Raw genomic sequence first — 20,937 nt, 5'->3', positions numbered from 1 at the left:
CGGACTGTAAATGTCTGCCTTCTGCCGGAGAACCCAAAAGGAGACAAGTGGAGCGTCTCGCTGTAGCCCTGGGGGTTCTCGGTCAAGCCGCTCAGAGAAGTCCGTGAACCCTGGCTCTCCCGGTCCCGCCCTCTGTTCCCCTCCAGTTTTGTTATCCTTCGTGTAGGTTGGTTGCTTCTTTCGTTCTCTCCTCTGGGGGCTCTGAAGTTTCACCAGGTGGACGCTGGGGAGCGGGCTCCCGAGCACTTGTCTACCTCCCGCCAGTCCTGACAACTTTTCTGGCCAACCTACCCAGCTTCGCTTGGCTGGCGAGCGCATCTGCTGCTGGGGTTCGCGGTGCAGATGGAGACGCAGTGGTGGCCAGAGGGTGATGGAGAAGACGGGAAAAGCGACAGCCACGCTCCTGGCTGAAGCCGCAGGACGCAAATAACTTACTTTGTACCTGACAGTTTCTCACGTTGTTGTGGAGGCCCTGTTTCCTGGAAATAAACTCAAATTGTTGTTTTCTGGAGTAATCGTTTATTTCCCTTCCATTGCTCTCCTACCCCCGCCCCATTTAGAACTCTGTAAAGGGAGTTAAACAACAGATTCAGGTGGCAGCATGTGTCGTACATTCAGGCAGAGATTATGAAATGGCAGCACGCAGAGGAAAAGCCCTGTATATAATTGATGTACGCAGAGGGTAACAGCTCTATGCAAAAAATAATCCAATGGTTTAATTGAATTCTTTCTGGAGTAAGCATTACTGCATGCATTTCTGACATATAATGCCCGTTAGCATTGAAACCGTGCTTGATGTAACTCATTATATGCAGGCAAGTTGGAGTGAGTATTGATTTCTGCACAGTGTTTGTCACTGCACGGAGAGCCTACGCTTGAAAAGGCTTGTAGTTTGTTAATTGAAAGTTTGAACTCTACCAGTTGCATAATTAAACTTACATGTATTCAAGAGTTGCAACTATTAATGTCTCAACAGCGATGGATATATTTTCAGCAGTTAGAAAACTTTTTCTCTTTTTAAATGTTATTTACCCTTTAATTAACAAATAAATACTACTTTTCCTCCAGCTGAATGTGAAAATGAGCTTTTCTGATACCTGGAGTTTAGATACGTACAATAAACAATTGTGTTCTTAGATATCTAGTTCTAAGTACTTTAACTAAATATGCCTGGCTTTTCTTTAGTGACAAAGCATAACATTTGACATGATGTTGTATATTTAATTAATATAATGTGCATTCCTAAAAAGTACAGTAATCACAGGATTGCATCTCAAGATTTTGCCCTTTAGGAATGTATGCCCAGAAATGAATGTCTTTTATTCCCAGAGTTTAAAGTCAGATTGTGGATTTGCCTTTCTCCACAAATTATAAGTTTGTTTTGTAAATACTTCCTTTTTTTTCTGGCTACCATAAATCATTTGATATTTTATTGTCATAAAATTCTATGGCAGTCAGATTTGTTGCAGACATAGATTAGAGATGTATTGAAGATTGGAGGTGTATTCCATATTGCTGGTTTTTCTTATATTTTACTTTAACTAGTGAACTTTTATTCCTTTTGAGAAATTTAAATAAACCCACTTTAAAAGTCCAAGACAAATTCATGTTGAGAATTTAAAAATATCTGAAGTATGTCTTTCAAATCATACTCATTAAGATCAGTTTACTTTCCGATATCATGTGGTTCCTAATGTAGTAAGCTTCAAAAGCAAATTTTGAAAGGCTGAGCATTGTTGGGACTTTGATGTGTCATATACTTATTCAGTTTTCTTTGTTTAAACCAAAAATGTAAGAGTGTTTTCATTATTGTGACTTTTTTCTTAGCTTTTGCAGTTAAAGTGTAAAACTGCTGCACTGTGAGCCTCTTTAAAACCAGAACGTTCTGTAAATCCCAACTCATACATTCTTTCAGTTTCACCTCTCACTTAAAATGACACCCATGTCATATCTGAGGAAACCGAGGCATAGAAGAATAAAGAAGTATTAAAGTTTATTCACTGGGTTGTATAGCTGTGATCTCTTGATATAATGTAAGAAAGTTTTCTGTAGAAGGACTTAGATGACTGACGAAACCAGATGCAGGTAAGGTGACTTGGAAACTCAGCTTTCTCCTCTGTAAAATGGGGATAATAATACCCAACTTGACCTTTCCACATGTTTTTTATGATTAAATGAAGTAATTTATGGGAACTAGCACTGTAAATTGTAAAGCACTGTGCAGCTATCTGGGGTGTAATCATCATTAAGTGCCTTAGTCTCAGCTTTTTACTCCTTCCAAATTCTCTCTCCAGTAAGTGCAGGCTGTTCAGGATTTGTGTGTGAGTGTGTGTGTGCGCACGTGTGTGTGTGCATGTGTGTGTGTGTTTTCACTCAGCCAGTCATTCATTTAATTATTGTTTAACATAGTTATTGTTAAACATAAACATACTAGATTGGCCAGACCATAATTTTGTCAGCACAATGATCGATTATCCTTAATTTTTTTAACTTACCTCGTATAAATCCTTACTTGAGTTAGACCCATGGAAGAGTCACTATTAACATTCCTGGCATTTCTAACTACAGAAAAAAATATTTTTAGTCAGTTTCTTTAGCTGTTTGTTTAACTGTTGGTTCAGGTTTTCAACTCTGTGTTGAGAATAATATGTAGCTTTCTAGATGCAGTCTTATCAATGACCTAGAGAGGGACTATTGTCTCTCTTGTATGATAGGAGCCTGGAAATACAGCTCGAGATCCTGCTTTGTCTATAGTTCCTGACATGTCACCCTGTTGATGTGCACTTAGAATGCTGTAACTCATCTAAGCAGCACCTGAGCAGTATCTGACTCCTTGTTGTCTCTTTAGGTGAGATTAATTTCTCTTATACTTATTACCTGCTAGGAAGATACTTTGGAGCCAGCTTGCTTTAAGGTTTGCCTGTTAGTTTTTTTTGGTTTTGATTGGCTAAATATCCCTCGATCCCTCAATTCATTAAAACTCCACGTTCTAATCACTAGCAATCATATGTAGCTGGACATTTCCAGGACTGTTTTTTTTTCTCTCTCTAGTTCTCTTGCATCTGACTCTTGATTTTCCTAGGTCGTGAGATGTAGTTTTGTGTCTGGCCTACCCAGACGGAAAGAGGAGAGTCTGGCTGCTGTTTGGACATTGGCATGTGTGCTGCTGACAGCTCTTCTCTTTGTGCTCATAAAAGTGAATTTCAAAAATAAATCAACCCCTCTGCCACTCTGCCCCCTCCCACACTCCCTCCTACTCTTTTCTAGCAAAAACAGAGCCCCACATATATATACACAAGATCACAGCCCTTTTGTTTTTGCCAAATATATTTTAGTGCTGTACATGTCCTTAAGAACTGGAAATATGACTCATCCACTAACCAAAGCTAATGCCAACATTCCCACCAAATCTCATATTTCTAGCAATGATGGTTTGTTACAGGTTTTTCTGGCCTTTAAGGTAATATTTAATTCATGTGATAAGATTCCATATAGAAAAAGTGTGTTGGCTACTAATATTTTTAAAGTGCAGTATACCAGGTCTACTCAAACTGGTATTAAAGACAGTGAACATCATGCTAAATAGGGATCTGTGCTGCTCCCATTTCCCCTACTTGCTTTTCATGGAGTGCAGGAAGAGAGATGCTGGAAGATTGAGAGCAGGAAGCATCAAGAAAGTTTACAGATTGTTCTTAAAGACAAAACAAAGAACACAGGGATTCTGTGTGTGTGCACGTGTATGTGTGTGTGTGAGTGTGTGTATGTGTTTTTGATCTTTTACTTAATTTTTAGAAGAGGAAAAAAGTCCTATGGTATTTTTGACTTGTTTATTGAAATCAGCCTTTGCCTTTGCGCAAACACATTTTCTAGTTCTGTCAATGTAAAAATTTCCCTCTGTGTATTCTTCTCAGTCTTTACACTTTGATCATATGTATCTGGTCTGTGTTCCTTCTTCAAATGGTGTTTCTTTTTGCCTAAAAAGGTTGTAATTGCTTTTGAACATGACTTGTTTTTTTAATCAAAACTCATGCTGTTTGTCATAGTACTGAAAAAAAAAAGTACAAGACATCAATTCATGATAGGTCTTAAAACAGTATTTGATAACAAAGTAAGTGAATAATACATTAATCAGGCTATTTTTTATTTCAATTGAAGCAAAAAGCAAACTTGCATATCCATGAACTAATCTTTTAATGTCACAGAACATTTATTTGTTGCTGTTTCTGAAGTCTTTAAGTTCCCTTTTATAAATGGGGATAGACAATTTCAGAACCACATTGCTTGATATTTTGAGATAAGTGAGATAAGTTACATACAACTATGCCTTGGAAAACTGAAAAAATGTTATGATGTTTGATATCAGTGTGAACTCTGAATAGTTTGTAAACTTCACACTCCACATTAGTGCAAATGTGTTTTGTGAAAATACTCCTAAAGAAACGTAGTTTCACATAAAAGGTTTTTAAAGTTTCATGAAGATTCTGTTGTGGGAAGTATGTTTATTTTCCTTTTGTATTCTTGTGGGAATTCTTTTGATCTGTATTTAATATTTTAATAATGAAAACTAAGTGTATGTAATTTTAAAACTTAGTTTCGTGAGGTTTTTTTTAGATTGTTGAGGTTCTGGGAAAACACTGGGCCTGGGATCTAAGGATCACATTGATCCTCTCGTGGAACATTGCCATTTCCCCACTTAACTCTGGTTGAAATTTTTGGCATTCTCCTTCGTGTGTTGATAATCCATAAAAATTACAAGTGGCTTATTTTGTCACTTACAGTTGTTTTAGGATCAAATTAAGTTGTCCTAAATGGAATAATCCGTGTTTCCACTTGATATGATTATTGAGCTCTGATAATGAAAATGATGAACAGGGCAGTGCTGGCTGAATCCTCCAACAGGTGTCATTCTAGGAATTGTTTTAATAAGGGGAATTCAGAAACAAGGCAAAATAAAATAGTGCGTAGTGGAGTTATTGTTTGTATTTATTTTGTTGGGAAATGTGAAAGATGTAAGTATGTAGTCCTCTGTGTGAATACACACACACACACACACACACACACACACATCTTAACAATGCTAGGACTTAGTTGTAGAAACATTTAGGTTAGAAAGAAGGTAAGGGCATCTAGAGATGGTATCAAAACTCCATACTTAACATTTTTGGAAAGAGTAGTGAAAATAGATCACTACTTTATTTCATAGATGTAGAAACAAGTGGAAAATAAGCTGTATATAATCTATACTGTATACTATACTATACTGTTATACTTTTAAGGATAAAATAATAAATCTTTCTCCAGATTGGTATCTATTAATATAAACCCTTCCCAGTGCAGCCTGTTCCTTAACCAGCTGCTCATAGGCCGATTCTCCAAGCGCTGTTCAAGGCAGCAGCTGACCAGCCACAGAAATTCCCTTAATCCGTGTTGGATAGTGGAGGTGACCTAGCAGCTGCTTAAGTGACAGACTGGCAACAGTTCCTTGATGTGATTTTTCTTAGGTCATTCAGTAAATTCAAGAGTAGAGAGGAAGGCTTTCTAGGGTCCTCACTACCCACCCAGGGATTGATGACTGATTGCTTCATGGTCATTGGATTCCTCACTGCAAGGTGTCCTGGGATTTTGTGGTTCATGGACCAATATAATTAGCATCATCTGGAAATTTGTGATGATCTGTGATCATCAGAGTCACCCCAGATCTACTGAATCAGAATCTGCATTTTGATGAAATCCCCAGGTGATTTGATGGAACATTTAATTCTGGGAAACACTGCTCTAGGACAAAGAAAGCTCAGTTTAAAAAGATTGTCACATGAACTTTACCATAGAATTTCAAGAATATTGCAAAAGGATTAATGATAACCTGAAATACATTTCCTTGGATTTATATTTCTTTTTCCTTTCTTTTTCTTTTTCTTTATTTCTTTCTTTCTTTCTTTCTTTTTTTTTTTTTGGAGATGGAGTCTTGCCCTGTCACCCAAGCTGGAGTGCAGTGGCACGATCTCGGCTCACTGAAACTTCTGCCTCCTGGGTTCAAGAGATTCTCCTGCTTCAGGCTTCCAAGTAGCTGGGATTACAGGTGCGCCACCATGCCCAGCTAATTTTTGTATTTTTAGTCAAGATGGGGTTTTACCATGTTGCCCAGGCTGGTCACGAACTCCTGAGCTGAAGTGATATTCCTGTTTTAGCCTTCTAAAATGCTGGGATTACAGGTGTGAGCCACCATGCCCGGCCCCTGGAGTATATTTCTGATCAATATTTACTTGATTATTATTTAATATTCCAGACACATCAAAACAACAGTACTATACAAGCTTTTTAAAAGAATGCTCAGATGACTTTGAAAAAAAATATTTTCATAAGAGACTAAAAGTAAGACTAGTTTTGGTTATGAATATTTTGTATAAGAATATTTAAAGATAAACATACTCTTCAAGGAACCAAACATGCTATATGCAAATCATTTTTAGCATAATGTTATGTTGATACAGGAAATACTATTCCCTCTGACATTACTAGTAGCAGTCTCTTGCTTTATAATTCTCTTTTTCATCTAAGTGTAATTTAAGATCTTTGTAGTAAGGAGCTCATTTATAGGACAGTCAAATTTAATGAATGGGAGTTGGTAGGTAGAATGCATTAAATATAACTGGTGTTCTTTTTATTATCTTTTGTGCTCATATTTAAGAACAGAGATTCTTGTCAGTTTTCTCAAGAGAAAAATTATGATGTAATAGACAGTGTACACTATTCATGTCAAAACACAATTTTACTTGCATTTTATAGCTTGCTTTAGCATTCTTTTAGAAAATGAATTTTCCCAGAAGACCTAATTGCCTTCTTATTAATGAGCCTGTAAGTGTTTTTTGTTATCCATTTACTATTCTAAATGTGTCTACTTGTGCTAGCTGTTTCAACAGTGTTGTCTCTGATTAAATCACAACTGCTATATTTGTTTTTGCCATTCACTAGTGATTCAGAAAATATTGGCATAATGACGTGGTTATGGCAGAGACTAATAAAAAACAAGAAGTAAAAATTAATGTTCACCCATTACAGTTGGCTGTATCATGAGATCAGAAGCTGGAGTTTGGGATAATAGCAACGTTCTCTATATTTTTGATACTGTAAATAAAAGTCTGCATAACCTATATTGTCTTAAATATAAAATATATAATTTATTGAATTAATGAACTGTAAATCAGTGTATTTCCATATGTACTTAATTTAGACACTAATGTTTAAAGAAAGATTTAATAGGAGACTGATCACTGTTAGAGGAGAAGTAGTGGTGGAGAGACTCTGAGAGGGCACTTTCGTATATCTTCAAGAACTTCACAGTTACTTTTTCTAGTTTGACTCCAAATTCTGGAACTTGTCTTTTTTACTAGTACTGCTTTTATTCTTATGAGCAATAATTAGGTTCATTTATTTTCTTATATGTTGGAGAAGAGAGCTTTTCCTAAAGCAATTGCAAAAATAACAATATGAGCTGTAATTTACTGAGAGCCCATGACCTGCTAGGGCCTGTGATCAGTGTTTTACATAATTTTAAATCCTCACAATATCCTTTAAGATGAGGATCATCTCCATTTTACAAACTAAGGCCTCGAGGGGTTAAGTAATAACTTGTCCCAAGTGGCTATATGAGTCACTGGTAGAGTCAAGATTCGTTAATGAATGTACACAAATGTTTAAAGATTAGACATTTCTTTGGTTGCATCTTGGCAGAAAATGTAACCCAGACTGGTTGCAACAAAAGGTGAATTTATTTGTCTCTCCTAACTACAGTTCAGGTGGAGCTTGATTTAGAAGTTGACGTAATTCCACTGAGACATGATGTTTCTCTGCCTGCTTAGTTTAGTTCTAGGGTATTCCAGGAGCTTCTTAGGCTCCATATAGAGGCACGATGGCTGTGGCAGCTCCCACCGAACAAGATCCCAGGTTCAAGTCCCTTAAGGAAATGTGAATTATCTGCTGGTTGCACCTGATAAGGCTCTAAGGTTTACAGTGCTTGAATCCACTGATCTTGTTTCCAACCATTGAATCTAAGGCTCTGACTGAGGGGAAGTTAGTGTGCTGATTGGCTTGGCCCAGGGTTTGTAATCTTTCTAATGGGGAAGAAAGAAGATGGGAGATGATGGGGAAGAGACAGTAGGATCAGATTGTTCTCTGTTGTGGACCACTAGGTGATCTCTAAGTGGGAAAGCGTGGAAGAGAAAGAGAGGAAAGAGGCAATTTGTGTCTGGCAGGCTTGTATACATTTACAGATCACCTGTTTTTAATCTGAGAGTGTTTATTTATTGGCTTTCCCTTTAAGGACTACTTTAAAGCATGAATTTATATTATTTCCATTATTTTATTTTCCTTGTCTCAGTATTGAATTAGTCTAACATTAAAAATTTGTAGAATTTGGTGTTAAAAAAGATCTTAGAAATTAATGACCCCTTCATTTGACGTAAGTTGCCCAAAGTCATACAGGTAGGAAGAACTTGAGCTCAAATTAAAGATTTTAATGTATAGGTTAGTGTTCTTACTATATATGTATCATATATTAATGTATACTATATATATATCATTTTCCTTAACAGTAATCTATATAATTATTATTTAAGATTAAAAAATTTTTGGCTTGTATTCCAAATTTCTGAAACAATATTTCCAAATATAAACCTGACTTAGTGATTGGATTTGATTAGAATAGTAGTCTGCATATAAGGTGATAATATGTCTGTGAATGCAAGAGACTATCTTAGATAACTGCTTGGTTTTCAGATATCATGACAGAATTTATACATGTATGCATGTATAGGTGTTTGCATGTATGCATTTATTTATTTTTAATAGAAAGCAAAGGGTAAAGTAAGCTGTGGTAAATGATATTGACACAGACAAAACCTACTAACTCTACTATTTTTGAAAACCTCAAGAGATGATGGTGATTTTATTTTTAATTTTGATCCTCTAACCTCTGCTGCCTAAATTTATTATGTATATCTGAGCAACATGGGATATTAGGAAGAGTTGCTATAAGAAATATCTTGGGGTACTGAATAATGAATAAAATGTAGAGAAGTAGCAGCTGTTTGCCTAGCTACCTCCTCTCCTAATGAGAGATTTACCCAGGCTGTCTTAATCACATGTTAGTGCTAGTGGATTTGACTGAGGACCATGGCTGTGCCAGTTGAGGCCAGGGGATAGTCTCCAGGCACTTTAATGGTCCGTAATGGACCTTCAATGGCCAGGGCAGCTGGCCTGGCACATAGGGGTGTAGACAGTGGTTGAGGAGGAAGGTTTACTGACTTCATCATGCTTCCCTTTGTCACTGGAGGCTTGTTTTCGTACACTTTTGTCTATTATCATAAATAACTTATGATAATAACTTATGACTCTTTTTCTGTCTTATTTATGTCCTTATGTGATGACTGTCAGTCCTAAATGATGAAGTTTGTAATAATTTGCCCTAACCACCTGGTCAGTTGGAGCAGATTGCTATCTGGTGTTGACTCATTATGCCCCTTTATCTAAACCAACACTTAAATGCTCAGGAAATATATGAATGAGGTGAAGGGGCTGGCAGCAACCTACCTCAGAACCAATGCCTTTGGAGATCTATGCAGGAGGCTGTTTAATGCACAGAGCACTGGCCTTGCTACAGGAGGACTTATGTTCCAGTCTTAAGCTCTGTCACTTTCTGAAATTTGGGAGCAGTCCTTTCTGCTTGATCTTTCATTTCTTTATCACCAAAATGAGAATATTACAATGAAGAATGACTTTAATGTCTTGTCTAGTCTACTGAACCAGACACTTTTAAGGTGAAATGAATAATATATGTGAAAGTAGTTTTATATTTGTAAACTACCATAAAAATGTAAATTTTGTTAGGAATAGAAACTTTGACAATAAGGAAAGTATTGCTGAAGGCACAAAAAGTGTGTATGCTGAAGAAGGGAAATGAAAACAATAAATAAATGCTTCATATATTTGCATGTTTAAGTGATACATTGCCTCTCAATGTTGGGGAAAGTGGTATAATAAAGAAGAATGAGCATGGTTCTTGTGAATAATGGGTGATTCTGCAATCATGTATCATAAAGAGCAGTCCCCCCAACTTTTTTCACATATATGTATTTCCTATGTATGTATAAATAAACTTTAATGCTACCAGGTAGTTCACTAGCCCTCCCATATCTCTGGGGGATACATTCCAAGGTGCCCGGTAGACGTCTGAAACTCGTATGGAACCCACCCTTAAATATACTATACCATGTTGTTTCAATCTGATAATGGAAATGGCTACTGAGTGACTAACAGGCAAGTGGGCTGTACAATATGGACACACTAGACAAAGGGATGATTCATGTCCCGGGTAGGACGGAGTGAGACAGCATGTGATTTCATCACGCCACTCAGAAGGGTGTGTAATTTAAAAGCTGTTTATTTATGAAATTTTTTCGTTTTCTTTTCTTTTCTTTTCTTTTTTTTTTTTGAGATGGAGTTTCGCACTTATTGCTCAGGCTGGAGTGCAGTGGCATGATCTTGGCTCACCGCAACCTCCGCCTCCTGGGTTCAAGCGATTCTCCTGCCTCAGCATCCCAAGTAGCTGGGATTACAGGCACCTGCCTCCACCATGCCCGGCTATTTTTTTGTGTTTTTAGTAGAGGCGGGATTTTGCCATGTTGGCCAGGCTGGTCTTGAACTCCTGACCTCAGGTGACCTGCCGCCTCAGCCTCCCAAAGTGCGGGATTACAGGTGTGAGCCACAGAGCCCTGCTTGAAATTTTTCATTTAATATTTTTGGACCACAGTTGGCCAAGGGCAACTGAAACCACAGAAAGTGAAACTGTGGGTAAGGGGGTCCTACTGTATTTGTATTTCCTCCAGATATTCAATATAGATTATGTGATTATAAAATAAGTTATTAAAGAAATGTAAATGTGTTTTAAGTACTTATATATATCATATATAGAAAGTTGTGTGTATACTTTTTTCCTTTTAAAAATTTTCGTGATAAGCTAGAACATGCTCTTGCCATCTAAGCTGTTCTGCCTGGTTTTTAAGAGCATGATCCTGATGAGGTTTATATCCTTTCATTTATTCTTTCACTCCATGAATCTTTGAGCACCTTACTATGTGCCCATGCTGTGCCAGGTTTTGGGTATGCTGGCAAGTAAGCCAGCAGTGACTTGTCCCAGTGCCTGTGCAGCATTTATAATGTTAATGACTATTAAGGCATGGTAATATTTGCATCGCTGCCCACATCTAGTGATTCACAAGTGAAGCTTGGGGCTTTGTTGGTAACTGACCATATATTTTATAACTGACCATACTCCTGAGATGTGGCAAGTGTCAAAGCTCTGTCTGTCTTACAGTTTGCTGATTCACTTCAGAACTTGCCTAGGATAATTCCAGTCTATCAGTAGTCTTTCCATAGTCTCAAAACTACCCAAACAAGTAAAAGCCTACCGAAAAAGAATTACAAACACATTGCCACAATGATAGTAAAATTCCGCCAAGTGGAATTTCCCAAAACTTGAGTAATCCGAAATGTAAACAAAGTCAGGCAGAGGAGAGAGCACATTTGTTTTCTGGAGGTTTGCTGTCACTAACTCTCCCTCTGGAAGCAGGATCAAGAAGATTGGTGGACAGCCTCTTAGACTACAGTGTATGTCAATGTGCATTTACAACCTGAATATTCACATGCATAATCCCTGGTTGTTTGGCTGCAGAATCCTGTTTGCTCTGACCTGCAGCTGCTTATGAACTGCCTCTCTTGCCTGGACTTTGATCAGCCCTCTCTCTGCTATTGCTTCTGTAGCCCATTGCCCTGTCTAGTGGGCAGCCACAAGAGAGGGAGACCAGTGGCTGGCAGAGTCCTATCAGCCAGGAATGAGGGTGGGCTGTGACCATCACCTAATTGCCCTGGCACCTGCATCCCATAAGGCACTGTTTGGTCATTCATTATGAAGGGGACAACAGTAGTTATTTAAGTACACTCACGGTCTTACCAGGAAATGGGGATTTTGAACTTCTGTCTTAAAAGAGGCCCACATGGCCTCTAGAGTGGGCCTCTAGTGTGAATTAAGGAGAGAAAAGCAATTTTGGAGAAGTGTAAATTTTTCCTAAGCCAAATTAAAGTTACTAGATTACATATACCCAAGGTTCAAAAATAGAAATTTAAAAAACTGTTTTTTGTTAGTTGAGTCACTGATATTTTATGCCCATTTTGTGTTTAAGCAAAAGAATACTTATCAAATGCTGATCTCCACACATAGTATAGAGCATAGTGTTTAAGAGTGCGGACATTGGAACTTGACTGCTTGAGTGGGAATATACATTCCAACATGTTTTTACTACATGATCTGACCACTTTCCTTCAGTTTCCACATATTCAAAATGGGAAAGTACCCATTCCAGATGTAGGTTTTGAGAAATATTGAGTTACAGTGCTTAAATGAGTGCCTGGCACACTAATAAAATTTGTCCATTTTAGTTATTATTGTTAATGAAATTGCCAGTGTTTGCAGAATATCTAATCTCATGCTGTTATCTCTTAAAATCTCTAACTACATTATCTTTTACTTTAAAATAAAACCACCAGAGAATAAATAATAGGATGCCTGAAGTAAATCAGCTCAATATGCTGATTAACAAAGACCACAAGCATCACTTTATAGAATATAATCCAGTGTTTATGAAAACAAGAAGCAAACTTATTCTTTTTTTATGTTAGAGGTTACAGTGACTTATAATAATTTTTTTTTTTTTTTTTTTTTTTGAGACAGAGTTTTACTCTGTCAACCAGACTGGAATGCAGTGGTGTGAACATAGCTCTCTGTGGCCTCAACCTCCTGGGCTCAAGCAAAACTCCTGCCTCAGCCTTCAGAGTTGCTGGGACCACAGGTGTGCGCCACCATACCTGGCTAATTTTTAAAAATTTTTTTGTAGAGATCAGGGTCTTGCCATGTATAAAAACCTACCCAACATCTTTGGAAAATGCATTTAAAATTCTCTAGGTAGGTTGAGGGAGGTGGGAAGTTTTTGGCCTACAAAGAATTGCTTACCTTCTAGAACGATTTAATCTCAGATGATAAAATATGAAAATTCTAAATTGGGAATAAGGTTAAAATAAGAATTGACCAGAAAGTGGAGGAATGAAATCTCTGCCACTCCAAGCAGTGCCCATCCCAGTAAGTATTATGTCCTATCTGGGAGTAGCACTCAGATTTAGAATGAGAGAATTAGAATTAATCAACAAGATAAGAGGGATCTCTTTAATGCCTAAGAATGTTGGTATATTGTTTCCCCAATGGTTATAGAATGAGAAAGGAATATCACTATTGCTTCTGTTTGCATTTGACACATATGCTAAACAAATGCACTGGCTTTTAGAACGTGTTTATGAATTCTATATAACATTTTTCTTTTTCTTTTTGGAGGTTGCCTAGCTATTTAATTTTCCTTAGTTCACAAAACAATGAGGTAGTTTCAAATCTATTTGAACCCCAAGACTTTTTCAAGCTGCTGTTCTCTGGGTAAAGCCACTTAGTCCTGGCACATGGTGGAAAGGTCTGGCTAAAGTTTTGACAATTATTAGCTCATTTGCAGAGTTGCTCTTTGACCTGTCAACACAGAGGAAAGCTTTTCTAAGCTGTGAGAAGGATTTTATGTTAGACTCGAGCTTTAGATTTCTTTTATTTTTCCAACTTTTTAACACTATCTTTTCTAGCTTTAATTGACACAAACTTCTCTTTTCCTTGTGTAACACTTGTGCACTCCAGATGTTAGAAATCCCTGTTAACTTTCTTACCGGAGAAGCTCTTTGCACTGCAGGCTTGAATGTCACTGAGATAATGTCCTTACAATATTTGCAACTTTGTGTTCTGACTGGATGCTCCTACTAACCTAGGTCTTCTTTGTGATTGCGGTGGCAGCAGCTGTCTTCATAAACTCATCTTCATTTATTTTTTATTTTATGTGTGTATTTATTTTTTTTGAGACAGAGTTTCGCTCTTGTTGCCCAGGCTGGAGTGCAATGGCACGATCTCAGCTCACTGCAACCTCCGCCTCCCAGGTTCAAGCGATTCTCCTGCCTCAGCCTCCTGAGTAGCTGGGATAGCAGGCATGTGCCACCACGCATGGCTAATTTTCTATTTTTAGTAGAGATGGGGTTTCTTCCTGTTGGTCAGGCCTGTAGTCCCAGCTACTCAAGAGGCTGAGGCAGGAGAATCGCATGAACCCGGGAGGCAGAAGTTGCAGCGAGCCGAGATTTCGCCACTGCACTCCAGCCTGGTGACAGAGTGAGACTCCGTCTCAAAAAAAAAAAAAAACAAGTAAATTTCTTAAGTTGTTATCATTTTGGTATACTGTTTGACCAGATTCAGTCTCAATAAAAGGAGCATTAACAAAACTTCAAAACTTCTATGGCACATCTAAATTTAAATATGAAACAGTTCTAAAAGCAGGGATGTATACTTGCTTGTCCTGGACCCCAGAATCGTGACTCACTTATTATTTGGAAAGCAGACTGCTACATATTTTGGTCACAATAATACCTAAAGGATACTGAATCAGAAAATGAGTAACTGAAAATGGGAGATCTCTATAATGAAAACACTAGATAGTAGTATACTTAAATATGATAGTGTACATGAGAAACCATAAATTTTAACCAGTGTGATTCAGGCTCTGGCTTTCAATCTATTTGCACTAGGGTATCGGACAAACCCACAACCAGGAAAGGTGAGCGCAGATATTGCCAGAAGAACCCAGGTGCTCTGATTGCTTACTCCTTAGGCAACGTTTCAGATTTTGCAAGGTACATTGTGCCCTTTCCCGGCTAATTCTTATCAGGAATGCACATCCCAGTTGAAGCCTGCTAATTGCTCTGAGGGCTGTTGTTTTTACCTTTAATTTAGGTTCAGGAGTCTGTAGGGCAATCCTTTGAAGTTCTTAGTTACTTACTGTTCACTGAAGTATCCACTTGAGATCTTTCCTGGACTCTCTCCACAGTTTGTTCACAATTTGGCACACCATTGGCTGAAAGTACTCTATCCTTGCTCCTTGCTCATTGACAGTTATACTACAGGCTGCTTCCAGTTGCCAACACATTTTAGAAAAGCATATAATTTTATTAAGAGTTTTTCCTGTTGCTTTCACATGTAGTCAAGTAAAGGGCAGGGGACAGAGAAGGGGCAGGATGTCATGTCAGCATTTACCTTTCCAGAGGCTAATGCTTTGAAAGAATAAGAGGGGTCCTTTTAGGTCAAGACTCTTATTGTTCTTGTCACCTGATTTGTTGGCATTGCAGTTACATCACGTGTTGTCTTTTATGTGAGCAATGACAAAAAGGATATATCTATTCTGTACATTTTTATCAAATATGATATCCTTCAAAGCTTGTTAAAACAGGTGATATCAGTCTGTGTTCTTAATATGGTCTTGTTGGCAACACCTTATTGGGGCGGGAACCATTGATTTGTGCATTTCCAGGATTGATTACTATCCCTAATAAAGTTAGTCTGGTAGGCAAAATAGCAAGACCTTATCTCTACACACACACACACACACACACACACACACACACACACACACAATAATAACCAGGCATAGTGGTGCATGCTTTTAGTCCCAGCTATTTTGGAGGCTGAGGCTGGAGGATTGCTTGAGCTCAGTAGTTAAAGGCTGCAGTGAGTGGTGATTGGGCACTGCACTCTAGCTTGGGCAACAGAGCAAGACCTTGTCTCTAAAACAAAATACATAAAGTTAGGCTGGTGAGCTAGGGTCTCTTCATTTAACAAAATATGTATGACAGAGTTTATCTGATTTCTTTCATGTTAGTTTGGTTAAGTTAATCAAATAGTAAATGCATGTTCATTCTGTGCCAGGCAGTGTATATAGCACAGAGGGCAAAATGATTTAGTTGACTAAGTCCCTGCACTTAATGACCTTACAGACTATTTAGAAGATCTAGAAATAAGTAAGATATAATTAAGAGTGGGAGGTACAAAAAGTGCCATCAGGACGTGGAGAAAGTACAGTCACTCACTCCTGGGTGATTAGTTAAGTTTCTCGGATCAGGCCATCAATTGGCAAAATCCTTATGAATGGGCACAAAATGTACTTGGGAAAATGAGGAAGTAATAGCGATGGTGGTAAATGTTTAATAATCAGCTCTCAAGCCAAAAAGTTCAGGTTTTATTTGTTTGTTTTGAGATGGAGTCTCGCTCTGTTGCCTAGGCTGGAGTGCAGTGGCGCGATCTCGGCTCACTGCAACCTCTGCCTCCTGGCTTCAAGTGATTCTCCTGCCTCATCCTCCTGAGTAGCTGAGATTACAGGCATATGCCATACGCCCGGCTAATTTTTGTATTTTTAGTAGAGGCGGGGGTTTCACCACGTTGGCCAGGCTGGTCTCGAACTCCTGACCTCGTGATCTGCCTGCCTTGGACTCCCAAAGTGCTGAGATTACAGATGTGAGCCACCATGCCTGGCCAAAGTTCAGGTTTTAGCACTTGCCAGTTTCCATGGTATAAATACTACCACCATGGCTGAATTCAAAGGACCAATGTGACATCACTGAACACAAAATTAGGAAGAGATGCATAGTAACACACCCTTATTTAGTACTTCCACCATACAGATACAAGAGAAGTAAATATCCTGCAAATATAATTAATAGTAAAATAATTAGAAAGTGATAAGTTTTGATTTATTACCTCTGTTTTTAATATAATTTATTTAGCTGTAAGTTTATATAATTTAATTTTAAATAATGGTTGTGACTAATAACTGGCCCACAAAATTCCTGAACATTTTAGCAACTGACTTTCAGGAGCTGGTATAGGCTGGTTTCAGCCCAGCCCACTACTCCATGCCTTATAATTTGGCATATGGGTGTGAGGAATCCAGTGAGATAATCCTCTTTAATTATGGGATCTTTCTATAACACTTTCCTAATTGAACAGTTTAGTGTAAGAAAACCTGGTCCATTTTGAAACTCCCTGGCAGGGGTTTAGTTATCAAGAAACTTTAGGTTCGTTGACACAAAATGTTGATGTCAGAAGGCTTTGGTGCATCCACTGTGGAGCTTAATCTCAGGAATAAATCCCCAAGAAGAAGACTGTTTTTCTGTTTAACTCAAGTTTCCCCACTATACAGGATTGACTCTCTTTGGTCTCAGGTGCTGATATGACTATTCAAGCTCTCTTTAAGTCCTGTTAACTTAGAGCACTGCTAGGACTATATAAAAGGTAAACTTTTCAATGTCTTTGAACTATGGACATTTTTCATGCTAAACACCATCTTTCCCAAATACTACACAGTAGGTAGTGGGTTTTCAGTAAATGTAGCTTGTAAATTACTACATCATCTTTGTACTAACAAACCTCCCGTGGCTCACAAGAGCACCCAATATTTAAGTTATTCAGAAATATTGGAAGAATCAACATGTCTGTAAAAGTAGGTAGATTTTCATCCAATTCTGCTATACATTGCCACTTTGATGGATTTTAATTTTGGGTGTATGTATGTGAAATTGTTAACATCTACAAAATATACATTATTAAATATAAAGCATGTTTTTTCATCTTAATACTGCATTTGGGCTTTGATTTAATGGTCTTTTATCATTATTTTCTACTGAATTATCAGTTACTTTTAAGCAGTTATTACTATTTGTTAGCTAAAGTTACTTTTGATTATTTCACTTGAGTTTTAAAATTCTTTCATTATTTAATCTCTATCAGTGTTAGAAAAGTGGAATGTTGTTTTAACATATGCTCTTATAATATTTGTTTATATAGGACAAAAATATTTCATGTTCCAAAAAATGTCATGTAAGATTAATGTAGCGCTAAATGGAAATTCCTGTGCTCCACATGCCTTTGTTAGGCTCCGCCCACAAAAAACCTAGTGTCTAAAACTAAGATATTCACATTTTAAGGCATATTGTAAGAAAGTTCTTGAAATTGGCAGATTGTGAATATGTTGTATATGTATTTTTTCCCTTTTAATGGGAAGGGTGTGTGTGTGTGTGTGTGTGTGTGTGATTTGAGTTTAGTAATATATGACAAAGTGCTGACAGTCCCCAAGTGACTTATGACTTATTTTGGGAAAATGGATTTTCTCCATATGATTTCTCTTTGTATATCTTATATAAAATCTTTTATCTTGTAGCAGGAAAAAAATTTACTTTCCCTTATATATGAACAATTTCAAGAATTTGGAAGCATTCCAAACTTTACAGTTTAAACATAGATTTCAGGCTGGGCACAGTGGCTCATGCCTGTAATCCAGCACTTTGGCAGGCTGAGGCAGATGGATCATTTGAGGTCAGGAGTTTGAGACCAGCCTGGTCAACGTGGTGAAACCCTGTCTCTATTAAAAATACAAAAATTAGCTGGGTGTGGTTGCACACACCTGTAGTCCCAGCCTACCTGGGAGGCTGAGGCAGGAGGATTGCTTGAGCCCAGGAGGTGGAGGTTGCAATAAGTCGAGATTATGCCACTGCACTTAGCCCGGGCTAGTCCCAGCCTACCTGGGAGGCAGGAGGATTGCTTGAGCCCAGGAGGCGGAGGTTGTAGTGAGCTGAGATTATGCCACTGCACTTAGCCCGGGCAACAGAGTATAGATTTCATAATAAAGATTCCTCAGACTGTGCAAAACAAAATGTAGATTTTTAACTCTTCTCAGTTAGTACTCTTTCTCCTTGAGGAAACCAAGTGGGAGAAGACATAGAGACAAATAATATTCAGAATTAATAAAGGTGTAGCACTAAGTCGATTGTTTCCTGTACTTAAATGGTTATATAATAGGAAAAAGACATATGTTCATATAAACTCTCAGGGATTTATTTTTAAAGAGCAATCTCTTCTGTGTGACCTGTGATCAGTAGACGTTAAACTCAATCTCTTACCTTTATGCCTATAATACTTTAACAATTAATTGATATTCAGAGTGATGGCTGAATTAGCTAAGCATAATCAAAAATGTAATTATGCTGGGTAAATTGTAATTCATAAGGCTGGAAAGCTTACCAGTAGTGGCCACAGTGATTGAAATGAGACTCCCCCCCCCAAATTTTCAGTTAATCACATGATTGTATTAACTAGGATGACCCATTTTTAGAGCATCTGTTTCTGACAACTTCTAATTTGTATTACTCTCTATTTCAACATTCTGTTTATTCAGCAGGGCCTGATAAAGATTTTTAGTTCATGTCTCACTATATTTAGCCACTCCTTCACTGCAGCCTGATGACATAATGACAACAATACATGAGCATCAGGATTTTACCTGCCTCTGCATCAGAAACTGAAGCCATTGGTGTATGTTTCTCTGGGCCATTTACATGTCTTGCCTGAGTATTTCAGAGGTAAACATTGTATCCCTTTTGAGTGTTTTGAGTCCACCAACCTATAGGGACATAACTTTAAAAATTATTTTCAATAACTAACATTTTAGTGTTTACTGGTCCTAGCATTGAGCTAAGTATCAGCTCATTATTTTCAAATTGTATGTAACCACCCATTTGGTGGGTACCGAATTCAATTCAGTAGGTAGCAACCAGCTTAAGGAAGAAAACCAGACCAACCATGAAATAGAATATAACAAAAACAATAACAAAGGTAATCATACATTTTGTAGAGGAAGAGAGAAGTATTGTTTCATGAAACTTTGGTTTTAATGGAATAGATTTATGTATCCTTATATGTCTGTGTACTGAGTCACAATGCAAAAAGAATTTCTAACTGTGGGTCTGGCCAAAAATATGGGAAAGTTACTATACTTCTCTCATACAATGTTTGCTATAAATCCTATTCACACAACTTTATAAGCTCCAAGTTTTTTCTCTTAACTATTATGTCGTGGCACTTCCTGGTACAGTGCAAAGAGCATAGAGTTTGCGTAATTTGGTAAATGAGTAATTTAACTTATATAGCCTGTTTCCTTATCCTCAATTCGTGTATAATTTCTGGATATTTACAGGGTTGTGAGAATCAAACTGGGTAATTTATGTTGGATATTCTTTTCCAAATTGAGCTACACATATGTAAGTTACTATGATTGTAATGCCTTGCCCTTTGGCCCTTCAAATACTAATTGACTACTGGGTTTGACTTAGGAAGACTGGATTGTCTTTTAAAATATTTTTCGAACCTGAAGATTTACAGTTCAGTGTTTTCACTTGTAGAGATCAGTCCTGTTGAGTACTTTTTACACAGTCTTTTGTTTCTTCTTTATGACAGGATGTTGTGAATAAAGCTAAGGTTTTTTTTTTATTTACTTTTCCTATTTTGGTATTACTCTTGACAAAAGCAATGGAAGGCAAATGTACTTTGGACATACCTGTATGAACTCATTATTCACATTTGTCTTCAAATAAAGCTGCATTTTGATTTTAAAACAAAATAACACTATGTAAATAAAACTCGATTTAAAATTTACGTTGAAATACCTATTGTGATACTCAATGGAACATTGAAATAATTTTGACCAATAAAAATATATCCAAGACTTAACAACAACAAAGGAATAAAAAAGATACACAAAACCTCCAATCAACTGTAAAACTTGTGAGTAGAGATATTTCAGTAATTGAAAATAGCTAGCAGAGTAGCTGTCCGCTGCCTGTCTTCTCTCTCTCTGCCATTCATTCTATTTATCTATCTATGTGGGTATCCAGCTGAATTTTTTGTCAAGATATATGTTTTTATTCCATATTTATTCTGTGGCCTAATCCAAAATATAATCATAAAAATATATATTTTACATTTTATGTATCAGTGTGGCATAACCTTATAATTCAGTATATATCCTGAAGACTTTGAGTTATGCACATTGTCATACTTAGACATAGTTCTCAACCTTTAGAGGATCAGACAGTTATCTGGACAGAGGAGCATTGATGCCACTGTTCTCCAGCATTCCCTTAGCCTCA

General features: G+C 37.4%; 1 protein-coding gene across 6 annotated transcripts in view; it reads left to right on the top strand.

Annotated features, from left to right (window-relative positions):
- PTPRK (protein tyrosine phosphatase receptor type K) overlaps nt 1-20,937 on the top strand; it is a 551,815-nt gene that overhangs the window by 1,163 nt on the left and 529,715 nt on the right. The gene's annotated exons all lie outside the window — the stretch shown is intronic.

Source organism: Homo sapiens, chromosome 6 (assembly GCF_000001405.40).
Source record: "Homo sapiens chromosome 6, GRCh38.p14 Primary Assembly".
Lineage (NCBI taxonomy): Eukaryota > Metazoa > Chordata > Mammalia > Primates > Hominidae > Homo > Homo sapiens.
The sequence above is the reverse complement of the archived record's forward strand: the minus strand, read 5'-3'. Positions and strand labels throughout refer to the sequence as shown.